Source organism: Homo sapiens, chromosome 1 (assembly GCF_000001405.40).
Source record: "Homo sapiens chromosome 1, GRCh38.p14 Primary Assembly".
NCBI lineage: Eukaryota > Metazoa > Chordata > Mammalia > Primates > Hominidae > Homo > Homo sapiens.
The window spans coordinates 215,920,489-215,936,962 of record NC_000001.11 but is presented as its reverse complement, the minus strand read 5'-3'; the positions used below and the strand labels follow the sequence as shown (position 1 = coordinate 215,936,962).

General features: G+C 34.4%; 1 protein-coding gene across 1 annotated transcript in view; it reads left to right on the top strand.

Annotated features, from left to right (window-relative positions):
- Positions 1 to 16,474, top strand: part of USH2A (usherin) — an 800,558-nt gene that overhangs the window by 486,486 nt on the left and 297,598 nt on the right. Inside the window, exon 38 of the mRNA NM_206933.4 lies at positions 2,168 to 2,347. Coding sequence (NP_996816.3) covers positions 2,168 to 2,347 — 180 coding nt within the window. The remainder of the gene's footprint in view (positions 1 to 2,167; positions 2,348 to 16,474) is intronic.

The window sequence follows — 16,474 nt, the reverse complement described above, 5'->3', positions numbered from 1 at the left end:
CTTTTTGTATGTTTTTACAATTTGTTGGACCTACCCATATTTCATGAAAATAGTCAAGTAATAACCAGATATCAGACCCTCTTTTGCATTATTTGATCTTCATTAATTTCAGTTTGAAATATAATCTGATGGGACAATGACACATTGGTAATGGATGAGATTAGTGCTGCTTTATTCATTGAAAAACCTTAGAATTTTGATGAATAATACATTGTTAGGTTGGAAGGGGTAGAGAATAGGTAGGTAATTGCTACTGAGAAAATGAAATACAGAGTACAAAATTCTTAATCACTTGCTAGTTCTGAATGGCTAGAATGTATCAGTTGTATGGATTACAACAAAAACAATAACATCATTCCTAGCTGTTGTTTATGAGCAACTATTATGTGCTGGATATGATAAAGAAATAATCTCACTTAATTTTCACAATAGCACTGCAATGTAAATACTGTATTATCATTCCCAGTTCACAGATGAAGAACCAGACATTCAGAAATATTAAGTAAATTAGCAAAGAGCACATTGCTAAAGAATACAAGAACAAGTTCAAATGCAGGACTTTTGACAACCAAATTTATGTTCTTTCCTTTGCACTATACTTTGCTACTAAACTGTGTTAAAATATAATGTTTTTGTAAATATTGTAAACCTTGCATTTTGTATACTATACGATGCAAGATCACTTTTAGTATGATGCCATCTTTTACTTTTTAAGCATTTGTTCAATAAAGATTATATCAGTATCTGGAGATCTTGCCAGTATGCTTGTTCTTCTCTTTGAAGCTCAATATCATGTGTTTTTTAATTCATTTGTCTATATCTGCAGAATTTGTGTGTGAAAGATTGAATGTACATATAATAAAAAGTGGTTTTATATAGGAAAAAGGTTATTTGAAGTAAATATTGGTGCTCTTTTAGATAAAAAAATCTCACTCTGTGACCCAAGCTGGAGTGCAGTGACACAATTATAGTTCACTGTAATCTCAAATTTGTGGGTTCAAGTGATTCTCCCACCTCAGCCTCCTGAGTAGCTAGAACTACAGGCTCATACCACCATGACCAGATAATTTTTAATTTTAATTTTTTGTTTTTAGAGATGAGGACTTGCTATGTTGCCTAGCCTGGGTGGTACTCTTAATCATTCATTTTTCTGTTTTTTAAGAGTTATTGTATCATTTCTAAAAGTGACAAACATTAAGCAGCATTTAAAAAATTGTCTCATAAATTTTTCAGGAAAGCATCTAATATAGAAAATGTTACAATTTTCATCTGTAGCCCTTTTCTTATTTTAACCCTAATTTTTTACTCTTAACCTGAAATTTAACCTAATGGTGTAAGAGAGAGAGATAAAACACTGTTACTAGGCAGAAGTATTTTCCTGCATTTTGGACTGATGAGATTTAAGAATGGGTTTGCTAAAGCTTTGGAAGGACAGTGGTGTTGGGACCAGGGTGAGGATGTATTAAAAGTGATTCTTTTATATAGCTAGGCAGCTTCTGCATTTTCTCATAAAGCTAAAAATATTAGATCTTCTGATCAAAGTGGACATATAGTACCTCCCATCCCCAGTTGCTTTTCAAGATATTCTGACTAATTGAAATTTAAAAGGGCATTAGATAGAAAGAAATCCACCCACATTTCAAGCAAAGTGAACAGAAAACACCTCAGTTTGTGAAATATACAATATCTGACAAATATGTCTGAGTATAATACGTATATCCAGAACAATTCTATTTGAGGAATAATGTGTTATTTCTTCCTGTCTGCACATCCAAAAAAATTCAGGGATTTTTATTGGAAAAAAAACCCTCAAAAAAGTATAAACAACTCATCAAGTAATCAATTTCTACATTTGTGCAATACTTTTACTTATATGCTTGATACTTGTGATATGGCTTTATCCTACAGTTATCTAAGAATATTCATCAAATTATTTCGATTGCCGTGATGAATGAATTGGCCAGGTCAACTCAGATAGCACTTTTGTTCACAAGATAATAAAATCCAAATATGTGCATTGATAGAAGCACATGTAATGCCTCTTAGAGTGGTAAAGTTACAGACCTATTTGGTACAGTATATTTAGAAACTCAAGAAAATACTCAAATAATAGCAGGAATGAATTCTTAAATATGTATTTATTTTAATAATTTTCTTTTTTAATCAGTAGGTAATAACTACACCCTTCTGAATGTCACAAAAGTCATGTACAGCGGAGAAGAGACAAACCTTTGGGTGCTCATCGATGGGCTGGTTCCTTTTACCAACTATACTGTACAAGTGAATATTTCAAATAGCCAAGGCAGCTTGATAACTGATCCTATAACAATTGCAATGCCTCCAGGAGGTAAGTCTATGCAAATGTTGGCTATCTAATTTTATATAAATGCCCTAGAATTAAGTTTCCATTGAATACCTTGTTTATTTTTAGAGGTATTTTATTTTAGAACTTAGAGGCTCAATTGTATTTCTGGTTCTTTTAATAGTTGTTGTTTTGCTTTGTTTATTCAGATTCTTTAATTGACGATCTTTTATTGTTTTGTTGAGACTGCTTTCATCCACCTCACACTGTGTGTATGTGTGTGTATATACCATACACACATACACACACACACATATATATATCTGGATTTCTGCATGTTAAGAAAATTGGGAAATGATTTTGTTCAAGGCGTTACTTAAAGCCAAAATTTATATTTGCAATTTGAGCTTCCATTTTCTACTGCAAATGGTTCTCATTCCTGGTGTTCTAAATAACTAGTTCAATTGTATACTTAAAGTACTTCATTTGGCAAAAAGGGCAGGGTGCAGATGATAGAATAGGAAAATTCCATTTGCACTACTGGAAAACACCTTTAAATTCCTGATCCTAATAATTACAGTTCAGCAGGGCCACATTCATGTGTGAAATGTGATACAGTCTGCATATTTTTATTTTAAATATTTCTATAAAAATCGACCTATTCACAATTACCATTATTTTGATGTGCCTTCAGCTTCACCATGTTTTAACTCGTTGCGGGAAATAATCGCATTGAGGAAAACCCCTCTAGGGTTGACATGGATGGCCCTTGAACAGAAAGCATGCCTCAAAATGTTAAGAGCATGACTCTCAATTGAGTGCTAAAGAATGTGTGTTTTCTGAAAATCCTGAAGGCAAAGGACCCCAGGACATCCAGCATCTGCCCTGTAGCCCATCTCCCAGGAATGAGTATATTCTGAACTAAGGGAGAATGTCACAATCTTTTATCAGCAATCCGAAGGGCAGGTTAACCCCACTTCCAGTTATGAAGAGTATAAGAACACAAAGTGCTTTATCACTGGAGAAAAATAAAAGGGAATCTTCAGTTTGTATGGAACCGCTCCCCTGCAAAAAAGATTCATTACTTGTTGTATCATAAAACCACACACTATTATCTACCTTTTATGCCATTATTAAAATTAATGAATTGATGTTTACTAAAATACTTGAAACTGTAAATGTCAGAAGCTACATTACTTAAGAAAAGAATGCATAAAAGAAACTTTTGAGGCTGATCAACTCAGGTTAGTATCATATTTATTGAGACAATAATTTTAAAAGGGAATTGAATTTAGATATATTTATTTAAAAATTGAGACTGAAACCCAAAATAAAACAAACTCCCCCCGCTAAAATAAACCTTAGGTATTCATATCTTCATTTTTCACTTCAATACACATGCTAGGAAGGATAGAAAACTGTGATGGCTCTAAACCTTAGAATATAATATCCTTTACTCAAATTTAGAAATTAAAGAGTAATCAGTGCCATAATGGAGGTTTTAAGTTATATAGTAATACCTTTTCTACAGGATATATACAATATTTAATAAGCGTGTTTATTTTAGGGTATTTATACTGATTAAATAGTTTGTGATTTACAGTAATTTATATCATATTCATAAAATAGGGCAAATTTAATTCATTGTTTATGTTTTTAGGAATGTATGGTCTAATAATTTGTTATTTATACATATATCAAGATTCAATTAAAAATAGCAAGGTCCTACTGCTAACGGAATATGCGCTATGTGAATATACCTGTCAGTAAAAGGGTTAATATTATACAAATAGAAAGAAACTAAAATATTGTTTTATAGTGGTGCAGTCAAACTGAGTAAACCATTAACTGAGGCTTATCTTCATCTTTGCTCTGTGGATGCTTATCTGTGTCATTACCATAATGCACTGCAGGCCCACACTCTCTGGGCCTGATGCAATCCTCCACTTTATGTATTCAGAAATCTAGAATTTGGGAGTCAGTCCTTCACCAAAGAGGAAGCAAATGTCTTCAAAGACAGACAGTGATTCGCTAAAGTTTATTATGGCCATTAGGACATACTTTCTTTTTTCATTAGATTGTTGTTGATTACAATTAGGAAACGTATAGCTTTAAAATTATCTTTTTTATGACCTTGTGGCAGTTTAAAGGTGATACCTCATTGATTAAATAGGTTTTAGTTCATGCTTCCTTTTACTTAATGATCTGAAAACATATTATCCTGATTTACACATAAAAATCATGCTGAAAAGCATGTGGCATTCACTAGAATATGTGTGTTTAAGTAGAATTAAATTAGTACTGAGAGTTATTAAAGAAATCTTCCATGCCTTTGTCCAGTGAACTGTGTTTCATTCTGAAATGAATAATAAATGGACCAATATACGGAGGCAAACCAACTTATGGGCAGAGAAGGTTCTATATGCTATTTACTTTTCCATTATAGTTGGATTGTTATCATTATTGCCATTTCCTTGATTTCAATATTAGATCTCTCTTATGGTGATGTTGAATTCCTAGTATCTTTCAATGCTGGGTGATGCAAGATTTGTGATGATAATATCCTTAGCTATGCTTCTTTTGCATACTTTTAAAACATAATAAGAAAAGAGTTGGGCAAAATAAAATGCTCTTTTTTACTTCATCAAATATTTGCTATCAAATATGACCTGGAAAATCCCCTTTACCCGTTTAATCTGGCCAAATCCTACTCATTTTTTAGCCTCAAACCTAGAAATTGGTCTATCAGAAAGTCATGTTTTGCCAACAGAGGCTGAGATAGGGCCTTTCTGTATCCCAGAGAACAGTTACATTATACTGAAATTGCCTGTTTAATCTGTCACAATCACTGGTTATAAGATCCTATAGAGTAGGAACTGTTTCTTACTCACATTTCTATCTTCAGCACCTAGACTAAACCTGACACATGGTAGGTGCATAATGAATAATTGGTGAATGAATAAATTAGTCAAGATTGCTTAACGACTTGTTTTAAATTTTAAGCTTATTATTACTCAGGCCCTCCAGGCCTCATCTCAACCTCAGCAACCTTGTATTTTAGCCAGCTGTGAAAGAGACCTTCTCTGTACACCACTGTCCAATGTAGGAATGCTCTGGTTATGTAGATAAAATTGGGAGCTCAAACTGTAAGGAGGGTGAGTGTATTGGAGGTGAGAAATATTCTCAAGTTATGCCAACTCTTCATTCTTTTATTCTTCCCTATAGTGGTTACTTTTCTCAGGTGAGCATAGAATAAACAATCCTTAGTTTAGATAGTAATTTGGAAAGGAGAGGTGAAAGGGTCATACTCCAAAGAATTTTACCAGGATACATCATCTCTTAATTTGTAGTCAGGACACATCTTATTTGCCAGTCCTACCTCTATTTTTCTGATGAGAAAAAATATATAATTAAGAATATGATAAACACAAGTTATTTGAAGATAGAAATTAAAGTAAGAAGATGGTGCTACTAATAACTTGGCACATAGATGAACAGTGGCAAATCCCAATTAACACACATTTTTTATTTGAAAAATTCACTTTAAATATTATTTGGACAACTGGAGGGGCGTCTCTGTTTTTTCCAATTATGTAGCAGATCCTTCCCTACTTCTGCACACTCAAGTTTTTTGTATTTCTACAATTACTATATTTTTAGGTTGTTTGTAATAACATAATGCTCATATTTAGCACTAAGGTATTCTTGGAAATAAAGGATATATTTAATCAGAGCTCTTGAATAGTATTATGGTACAGGTTCAAGAGTTCTAGGAAAAGAATTAAAAAAATAAAAACGAATCCAAATGTTAATCCATAAATATGAAACTTTCCTATGGCCTTTACCCCTTCAAGGTCTGGAGTTACTAATGGGGTTAGGATTTCAACGCTTAATGGGGCTCAGTGCATTAGTGTTTTGTATGCATGGAATTCAGCATTCAGTTTAATAAGTGGTTGACATTGGTGATGTCCCTTAATTTGCTTAAATCTAATTGGCTCTTTTATCAGTCAAACCTGTATGGATTGGCAATTGATCAGAAAGGGTCAGCCATGACTCTGCATGTAGTTAAATGATGGAAGCACCAGTTAAAGTCACAGTTGCATGATAATAAGCAAAAGAAGAACAAATGAGCTTAGAGGAGGAAGGCAAAGAAGCTTAGAAGTTTTGCAGGATCTTCAAGTTCAGAACAAAGGCATTATAGAGTATATAAATTTTAAATACACTGCATTTTGCCTCCAGACTTAAACCTTTTTTTTTCCAGATGAACTGAAATCTTGTCTGAAACTGTCTTTGTTACATCAAAGAACTACTCAGAAAGCTAAAAGAGACAGAAGAAGCATAAAAGGGCATAGTTTAAAATGATTAGTGACAAATTCCATACTGACGAGCTAGAAACAGATTTTTAATGAAAGTTTTATATTATTCCAAAAGGAATAATTCTGTTTATCTTTTTCTGAACTGCTTTATTGTAACAGTGAAAGGAACTTGGAGCCACCCTGGTTTGTGAACCTAATCCAATTTTCCTCTGAGAGTAAATAATTTGTCATTTGTACTTTTAAGTTGATGAGAATTATTATAATCTACAAACAGTGTAAAATACTAGGCTTGAGAAAATCTGTTTATTTGCCCAAATGTGTTATTAGAGAACCAAAAATTGAAAAAGGCAAAATGGTTGCGAGTAGTTTGTTTTACAGGGTCTTTTCGACTCTCTCTCCTTCCCCTGAACCCCCTCTCCACTTATCCACCTAAAATATCAATGAGAAAAAAAAGAAAGAAAGAAAACCATTAGGAAGTAAAACTTAGGCACATCGCAAAAGCATAGACGTTGGAGTCCTAGAAACAAGGATTTAAATCCACCTCTTTCACTCACTGCTTGAGTGACTATGAGCAAATCTGCAGATATAACTGAGCTTCAGTTTGCTCATCCATTAAAGAGGCTGGATGGTAATTCCCACCTGACTGGAGGATTGAACAACATATTATATGTAATGTGTTTAGCGCATTGCCTGTCTTGGTAAACATTTGGTGCTTCCTACCTCTTTTGTTCTATTTTCCTACTAAGACTCTTTTTGGGGACCTGGAAAATGCCCTATAGAAAAAGTAAGTAAAAAAACCTGTCTTTCACATAGACTGCAGAGACCAGAATAATTTCATCTTGCTACATCCCTATCCTTTCCTACACTTACCCCTTAACATGTTGACATACATATGGCCAGGCCAGTAACCCTGCTAAGGGGTGGTTGTGATGCATATTAGATGATGAAGTAAGCAGGAAGCATGGGAAGTGATTTTCTTTTTGAAATACCTTCAGCATCCTCCTCCATGACCTCCAGATCATAATTTGCGAAGATTTTTACATCAAGCTCTCATTGGTCATCTTGGGATTTCACATATTTTCTTAATAGAACTCTTCTTCTGTGTTTATATAGAGCTACTTATTAAATATAATTATGACTTTTTAAAAAATGTCTATTATTGTATATTTTATTCACAAATGCTTTTTTTTACATTGTTAATGCTAGCCCAAAGCAAGTAATTTGAAATTTTATCCTAAGATGTTTTCATGTTTTCTTAATTGTCCTCAAATACATATATTTAAAAGTTACATCTTGGAATTCAAACTTTTTTTCATTTTTCACTAAATAGGAAAGTTTACTAGTTGTTCAGCCAATATGCTTTTGAATAACTAAATAAAATGTTTGCTTTTAAAAGATGTTAGTATATGATTTTTGCCCAATAATACCACTAAAGGAATAATATATTAATGACTAACTTTTTTAGCTTGAACTACTGAATTCCATTCTGTTTAGAATTTAAGAGACTGGAATATTCTTTCGGGTATTGCTGTGTAACGAGTCACTCCAAAAGTCAGCAACTTAAAACAACCATTCTGTATTATTTCTCACCTGATTGTGTGAGTTGTCAGCATGGTTCTCCTGGCTTAAGGAGGCTGGACTGGGCTTCTTCAGAATTCCCAGAAAGAAACTCAGGGTTTCAAGAGTCAAGCCCTAGTGTACAAGCCCTGAAAACCTTTGCTTGCCTCAAACTGTCCAAAGCAAATTTCTTGCCCAAGTCAAAAAGCATGTATGCTGGAATGTATGATTTACTGGAGCCTGATAATTTGTCAATCTTCCATAAATGTCTAAGTGATTGGTTTTTAGATTGTGTATGTGTATATGTACAAACACATACATGCAAGTATTACAGATACATAATTTTTCTTTTAAATTAGTTCTGCTTTTGAAATAATGATGTACTAGCACCAAAAAAAATGAAGAAAGCAGTTTACTAAATTTTTCCTTGAAGAAGATATAAAAAAAAATCTTTCCTTACATGACAATTAATTTTGATGTTTTATTTCAGTATAAAGATCAATAAATGTATATCAATAGATTCTTGTTTAAAATGTTTGTAGCTCCCTATTGGAGGGAAAATTCTGATCTCTTCTTATAAGTAGGTGATTTAAAAAAAAATCTTAGCTATTTCTCAAATCTAGGCCTTGGGTATTCTGATTTCTGCTTGTAACTTTGAACTGTGAGAGTAGAAACTGTGTGTAATTTGAATATTTTCTGTAGCTCCAGTGTCTGGCATAAACTATTTGCTGAATAAATTACCAGAGCCCTTTGTGGCAGTGATAACTTGGAAAATAATCCTGAAAGTTATATTTTGCTATTGCTGTGTCTTTTACTTGGATAAACATTTTCCAGAATTAAATTCAACATTTAGGGTTTAATTCATCCTAAAATTATTTTTAGTCCTGTTAAGATTACCATAACAGTGTAAAAATACATAATATAGGACCCTCTGGAGGTATGTTTATAAATTTGTGTGTGTGTTTAATTGTCTATTTTACCTACCATTTTATTTTTTATTTTTAAATAATTCCATCTTTTATATTATGTTTAGGGGTACATGTGCAGGCTTGTCACATGGATATATTGTATGATGCTAAGGTTTCAGGTATGATTGATCCTATTGCCCAGGTAGTGAGCAGAGCACCTAATAGTTTTCAGTTCTTTGCTTTCTCCCACTGTTCCCCTTCTAGTAGTTTCCACTGTAACCACCATTTTCAATTAACTTATCTATTGTGATTGGTGGTTGAACACTTAACTGAAAATAATGATTAAAACAGAACATCCAAAAATTTAAATATATATTAAACACAACTTTAATTTAGAACACATAAATATATTTATCTATATATTTATCCAACAATCTTGTTATATAGGGCCAAGTTGTTTTCTTGGAGTGTTAATTTAGTATTTATAAGTCCAGCATATTTGCTGCCAAAACTATATTCATAATGCATAGTTTGATTTCCACTTTGAAAACTCCTTTAAAAGGAGAACAAAAATTTAGAGATAATTAAGGAAGAATCTAATTATAGAATTTTTCAGGCTTTTGTAATATCCTAAGTCTTTTAGTTATTTTTCCTGAACGAATTTCACAGTATTGTTTTATTAAGTCCTCACTGAAAGTTTTTCAAAGCAGTAAATTTTCATAGAAAACGGTTTCTGTTAACAGTGCTCATCAGTTTAAGCATTATTTAATTAAATGACATAATCATAATGACAACCACAATTGACATCACAGGTTTAAAAAATACAGCTGACTCTTTGTGAGTGTATAATTCTACCTGCGACTGCAGAATGTTGCCCTTGAACTACAGAGTAGTCAACTATCCATCTCTGCAATACAGAGTAAATGTAAATTTTTTATTAATCTGGCAAGTCAGATAAGAATAGGTAGGTAAGGCTGGGCGCGGTGGCTCACGCCTGTAATCCCAGCACTTCGGAAGGCCAAGGAGGGTGGATCACCTGAGGTTGGGAGTTCGAGACCAGCCTGACCAACATAGAGAAACCCCATCGCTACCAAAAATACAAAAACTTAGCCGGGCATGTTGTAATTCCAGCTATTCGGGAGGCTGGGGTAGGAGAATCGCTTGAACCCGAAAGGCGGAGGTTACAGAGAGCCAAGATTGTACCATTGCACTCCAGCCTGGGCAACAAGAGCAAAACTCTGTCTCAAAAAAAAAAAAAAAAAAAAGATAGGTAGGTAAAGCAAGTGTCTACTATTTAGGAAAAAGACACGCTTCCAAAGTGGCAGAATGATCCACCCTCAGAGCAGCCTACCCAAGTAGGAGAGGCAGGACAATGCTACCAAATTCTTCTCTTAGGTTAAGCATTACCACAGCTCTGCCTTAAAAGAAAAAAGAAATTATTGATTATATCCCTTCAATTGATTAGGGACTGAGTCTGAGATTTGTGGCATAACTTGCTCAGTGAACTTATTTTTCTCCTTCAGTTTTTAAAGGAAAGAACTGAGCTTTCTCTTCTATTTTCAAATTTCAACCAAAATCTCTTTCTAAGACCTTAGAGCAATGAAATGTGTGGGTAGCACTATCAACCAGCCAGGTGGAGAATGGTATTTTTTTTTTTTTTTTTTTTTTTGCAGGGTCTCTAAGAGAATTAGGGGCAACTAGAACTGGCTCAAAAAGCAAGAATATACGAAAGAGCAAAAGAGTAAATAAATAAGAATTGCAAAAACAAACTCTATTGTATCTTGCACTTTCTTCATGCATTGTAGCACTGAGAATTGTAAAATATTTCTATACCTTTTGTTTGTTTTTGTTCTTGTTTTTTTGAGACGGAGTCTCGCTCTGTCACCCAGGCTGGAGTGCAGTGGCGCAATCTCAGCTCACTCTATGCCTTTTAAAATCAACTTAGTACAATGTCAAGATGCTACTTTTTAAAAATAAAACTAATGGTTCTCAAAAATGTGAAAGCTTGCTTGCCGAGTACAGATATAAAGCTCCTCAATATGTGTTTTCCATTTTTCATCTGCTCTGTATCCACTTAGATTTATTTGAAATATATAAATAGAAACATTAATGTGCAGGTGGCAATGGGATATCTTAAAAATTGAAAGAGTACAAAGGGATGGAGATTTTAAAAATAAACGTAGGTTAGCAGCTGAAATAAGCAATAGGCTAAGATGGTATATTCCCTTATTCAGAGGGTAGAAGGAAAGATGAGATTAACTGCTTTTTATAATGTAAAAGCCACAATGAAGATACAGGATGGTGAGGAATAGCATTCTTTAAAACGACAACATTCTACCACATAAACAGATGGTTTGTCTTTACCTTCAGTATATTAAAAGCTACACAATTTATATTACATCCAGTTCATATGAATCTTTCGAATAGTTGTGCATAATGTTTTACTTCTGTGTATATCTTCCAAATGTGCTGCTATTTTTTCCCTGGAAAAATCAACCCATTGAAAGTAATAAAGTAGGAGAATTCAACAAATAAAAAGTATTTAAATTCTTAATAAAATAAATAGTGTGCTTTCAAAAACACATACCAGGCCATTTAATTTAACCCATGCTTTCTCCCAGGTACGAGAATAGAACCAAAGGATTTATGACTGTCTTAAACATGCTCTCAAATCCTTTCCTGAAAAGTGTTACCTTTACTTTTTTGGAATTGATAGTTTAACCTGCTTTGTGTGTGTGTGTGCATGTATGAAGAGGTATATGTTTGTAATATTACATATCATAAGCCAAAGAGAGGGATAAATTCCTGTTTCATAATTTGTGAACAATTTTTTCACTTTTTGTATTCACCATCTTGACAATGAACTTCCTGCTTATAAAAACACCTTAGAAAAAGACTAACTTCTGAGCTATGGAGAAGAGGGAAGGAAACTTTGAAGTGTGCTTACTATGGACTCAACAAGCCTCCAGCAAAGGGCTGCCAGCTCTCCATATTTGCATACTCTCATGTGGATTATATAGAAATACACACGCCCACACACACAATTAAGTGCTATCTTTAAAGCATCCTGGGGCAAGAGAGAGAGACTTAAAAAAATAAAATAAAATCACATCTTTTTCTTTTTTACCAGGGGAGAGGGGTGGGAAATATTGTTCCTTTAAGTTCCATTGATATTTTCTAACTCACATTTTTAAAAAGAATAAGTACAATTCATTTTCTTTTTTTTTCTTCGAAGACGGCTTTATCCATAACTTTAAGCTTAAAAAAAAAAATCATGTCTGTCTGACTGACACTGCAGTCTAAAAGCAACTTGAAGTTTTATTTGAATTTTTATAGTGCCCTAAAGAAATTTTTGCTTTATTTCTTTAAAATAATATCTTGTTCCTCATTTTTTCATAGACAAACTGTATGCCTGACTTGCATAAAATTCTATGAACATTTACCTGCCTATATAAATACTCACAAAAGTGAGAAAATTCTTAATATGTCTTAGATACTTAGAGACCATATTTCCAACCTCTTTTCATCAGCAGCATCAAGAAAATCCCTTTTTCTATCTCTATAAAGGCATATAGACCCCCCAGAGTCTAAAAGAAAACTTAAAAACTTAAGGAAGAATAGATTTTGACAACAGTAGGGAAATTCACTTACAACCACTATGCTTTTCATGATTGTTAATTAATTGGGACAAATGAAACTAGAAACATGAGGGTATCTAATATATACTTTATTAGATTAATCCCTCTTACACTTTGATGACCATTTTCAAATGTATACTATCTTTCATTTTTATTTAAATGTTTCGTATGCTTGTATCATGTCTTATCTACTAGATGGGGAAGATAAAACGAATGGGCTGGGTGTGGTGTCTCACACTTGTAATCCCAGCACTTTGGGAGGCTGAAGTGGGAGGATTGTTGAGCTCAGGAGTTTGAGACCAGTCTGGGCAACATAGTGAGACCCCATCTCTATTTAAATTTTAAAAAGAAGAAGTAAAATGAAAAAAAAAATGAGTGGGTGAATGGAGGTAGACAGAGGAGTCACAGCTGGTCTCCCTTTTTCTTTCTCTATCCCTCTCACCATTTACCTTGGCTCAGGCATATAATAGGATATTAGTAATGATTACTATCATGCTCTTGTGCAGTCCTAGTGGCCTGGGGCTATTTTTGCACCCAGCATACCTTCACCCTTTCTTTTGATGACAGGGCTCCAATTTCCCTCTCAGCACCCTGGGCTCTTTCAAGATCAGAACATGCACATGCGCTGTGTGTGAAGTTGACTGCATCACCAGGTCTGACCAATGAGGACACTGTATTCTCCTAACCACAGTGATTTTTTTTCAGGAATGACAGGCATTCCAATCAAAGCCACTGAATTGCAGTAAACCAGTACAGTAAACAGAGGCATGTCTCTTGCCCTGTATTTGAATATGGGATTCGGCTCAATTTGCTGCCAGCCATGTTGCCCCTCAAAGAGTCTGAGAAATTTAGTCAGCAAGGAAGAAAGCAGAGTGGGTATGAGAGAAGGAGGTAGACTAGATTCTGGTGACGTCATTTGATCCTTTGAATCCAGCATTGCCAAAACCCAGCTCTTTCCCTTGAGTGTTTTTTTGTTTGTTTGTTTGTTTGTTGATTACAGGAACCCACTACCCATCTCATTGCTTAAGCCTCTATGTGTTGTGTTTTCTGCCACTTGAAAACAAAAGCATTTGCCACAATGCTTGAGAGAAAGGAAAACAAGTAGAGAGCATTTAGAGAAGTCTCATCACTTCCTGAAAATCATGCCAAATGCTAAACTTAACATATGTGTTTGGCTTTTGCTTGGGCTCTCAAATTAGGAAACCTCAAGAAGTAAGCTGGATGTCACATGAGATAATATTTTCTAAAACTGTGAAATGGCTCATCCCATTCTGAAGGGTCTCCTCAGAGCCACTTCATTTGACAATCTTCTGAGCTGTTTCTCCACTATTTTCAGGTCTCAGAGCCCTGAGTTCTAGTAATAACTCTTGTGCTAATTAGCTGTTTGGTCTGACTTAAGTAACTTTACCTGACTATGATGTTGGTCTCTTATCTCTAAAATGGCAGATGTGAATTAGATCAGCAGTATCTATAGTGTGATCCCAGACCAGGAACTTCAACATTCCTTGAAATTTGCTTGAAATGCAACTTCTCAAACCCTACTCTCAACCTACTTAACCAGAAATTCTGAGGGTGGGGCCAAGCAATCTGTGTTTTAATGAGATTCCATTACCAACTCCCAGGTCACTGGGTGCCTTCACAAGTTTGAAGACCACTGAGCTAGACCATCTTTAAAATACTTTCAAAGAAAAAATATATGATCTTGTCTATGACTTTATTCCATATTCATATTTGAGACAAATACTCAGGGAAAAATAGGTATAATAGGCCTCCATGCTCAACTGGTCTTTGAATATATAAGTCACATTCGTAGGGCCAGAGGTCTTTCCAATGTAAGAAAGCCATCGTGTTGCTCACAGTCTTCCTGAATGGGCCAGGAACAGATACCAAAGATAACCAATTCCAGATGTTGAGTTCTACCTGTGGCACCAGAAAGCAACAGGCATGATGTTTTATGCACTGGGGAACACTAATCAGCCCTACTGTGAAGACACTGTCAGCTAAATTTCCTTTGCTCTTCAACTTCTTCACAGAACATCTGCTATAAGAAACTCCTTGTAACTAAAACCTGAGTCTTTCCCCTCTGGGGAATTTTCTTTAATGAGCCTCTTGTGGCTACATCTGTACAGTTTTGAAATATGTTTCCTCAAGTCAGTTACATCTTCATCCTGGATTCTAGGGTTTGCTGTCTATTGGACCTCATAGCTAAGATTTTTCCTTCTAGGAGTTCACAAACACAACTCCAGAGTAGGTTGACATAGTGCCCAGTATCTAGAGAAAAATTAAGATCATGTAACCTTTTATTTGCTAAAAAGAGATTTTTGATGTTGTGATCACTCATACCAAGATAGCATTTATTAATACTAGGTGCAGGTGTGGTTTTGCATATATTAACTCATTTTATTCTCCTCACAAACCCTGTAAGGCAAGTGCTATTATTATCCCTATTTACACATAAGGAAGTTGAAGAAACAATATTGGCTTGCAACTAGTAAAGGTCATCTTACTAGTAAAAGGCAGACACTGTATTTAAACCTAGAGACTGACTATAGAAGCCTAGTTCTGAGCCACTATACTCTATTGTTCTACTGACTGTAGAACTATACTCTATTTCTTCTACTGACTGTTCATATGCTCTCTTGGCAGCAGCAACACAGATTTTGATGCCCCACTAATCAATGCAGATCTGAAGAGGTGACTTGACTCTATAGTAGGGTCAAATATAATTTTAAGGGTATTGTTGGTTGAACTAGTAGGTTTTTAAATCCTGTTGCAGATGGCCTAGAGAACTGTCCTCAGTGACTGTATAACCCATGCTCTAAAGTTTATAATGTCATAAGAGAAAAAAAATGTAGGTAAAACATGTTTACAGCCTTACAAAAAAGCATTAAGCAGAAGCAATATTATGTGGTACGTACCCTGTGTGGAGAAGGCAAAGAAACCAACCAGTTGGACTCATCCTTTGCCAGTGTGGATATAAGTACTTAACTTGCCCACCAAGTATTTTGCCCAACTTCTGTCATATTTACCTATGAACTTCTATTATAAATTATTATAAATTGTGATCTTCTGATTGTACATAGTTTGCATTCTTGTGAAGAGACTTAATTTATCTAATAGTGTTAATTTTGAAAAATTAACAAACTTTCTTAAAAGAGAGCAAGAAAACTTATATTTGTAAAAACTAATGAAAGAAAGAATCTTTTTCTTCCTGTACTAAAACAATTTTCTGTGAACAGTTGAAAAAACACTCTAGTCAGGTGAAGACACTTATTCATATGTGGAATATTCTAGAAATAAGCCATGTGAACAGTATGAGTATGTGGGAAAATTGTTCACTGGAATGGCCACAAAATGACCATGCGTGACCTCTGGGCCATAAGAAAGCAGGAATACTTTCCTCATCAAAATCTGAAGTTGAGGGCATGATCACAGGAAAAAGCTTAAATCTTATTCCCATGGTTGATGCTATAAATCAAGTAAGCGTGTATCTTAGACTGTGCATTTGTAAAGCACAGTGTCTATCAAAATATCACAATTCAACTTATCCACCACTTGCTATCCCCAGCATTTTCATTTCCTGATTGTGTGACCTTGAGAAACTTTTCTCCTCTCTAAGCCTCATTTTGCTCATCTGGGAAGGGGTTTCATAATTACAGAACTTTCCTCAATGGGTTTAGACAAGGAATAAAGAATGTGTGTGCACTGAGATTAGCTGGCACATTAGGTAGCTGCTCAATTCTTTGTTTAAAG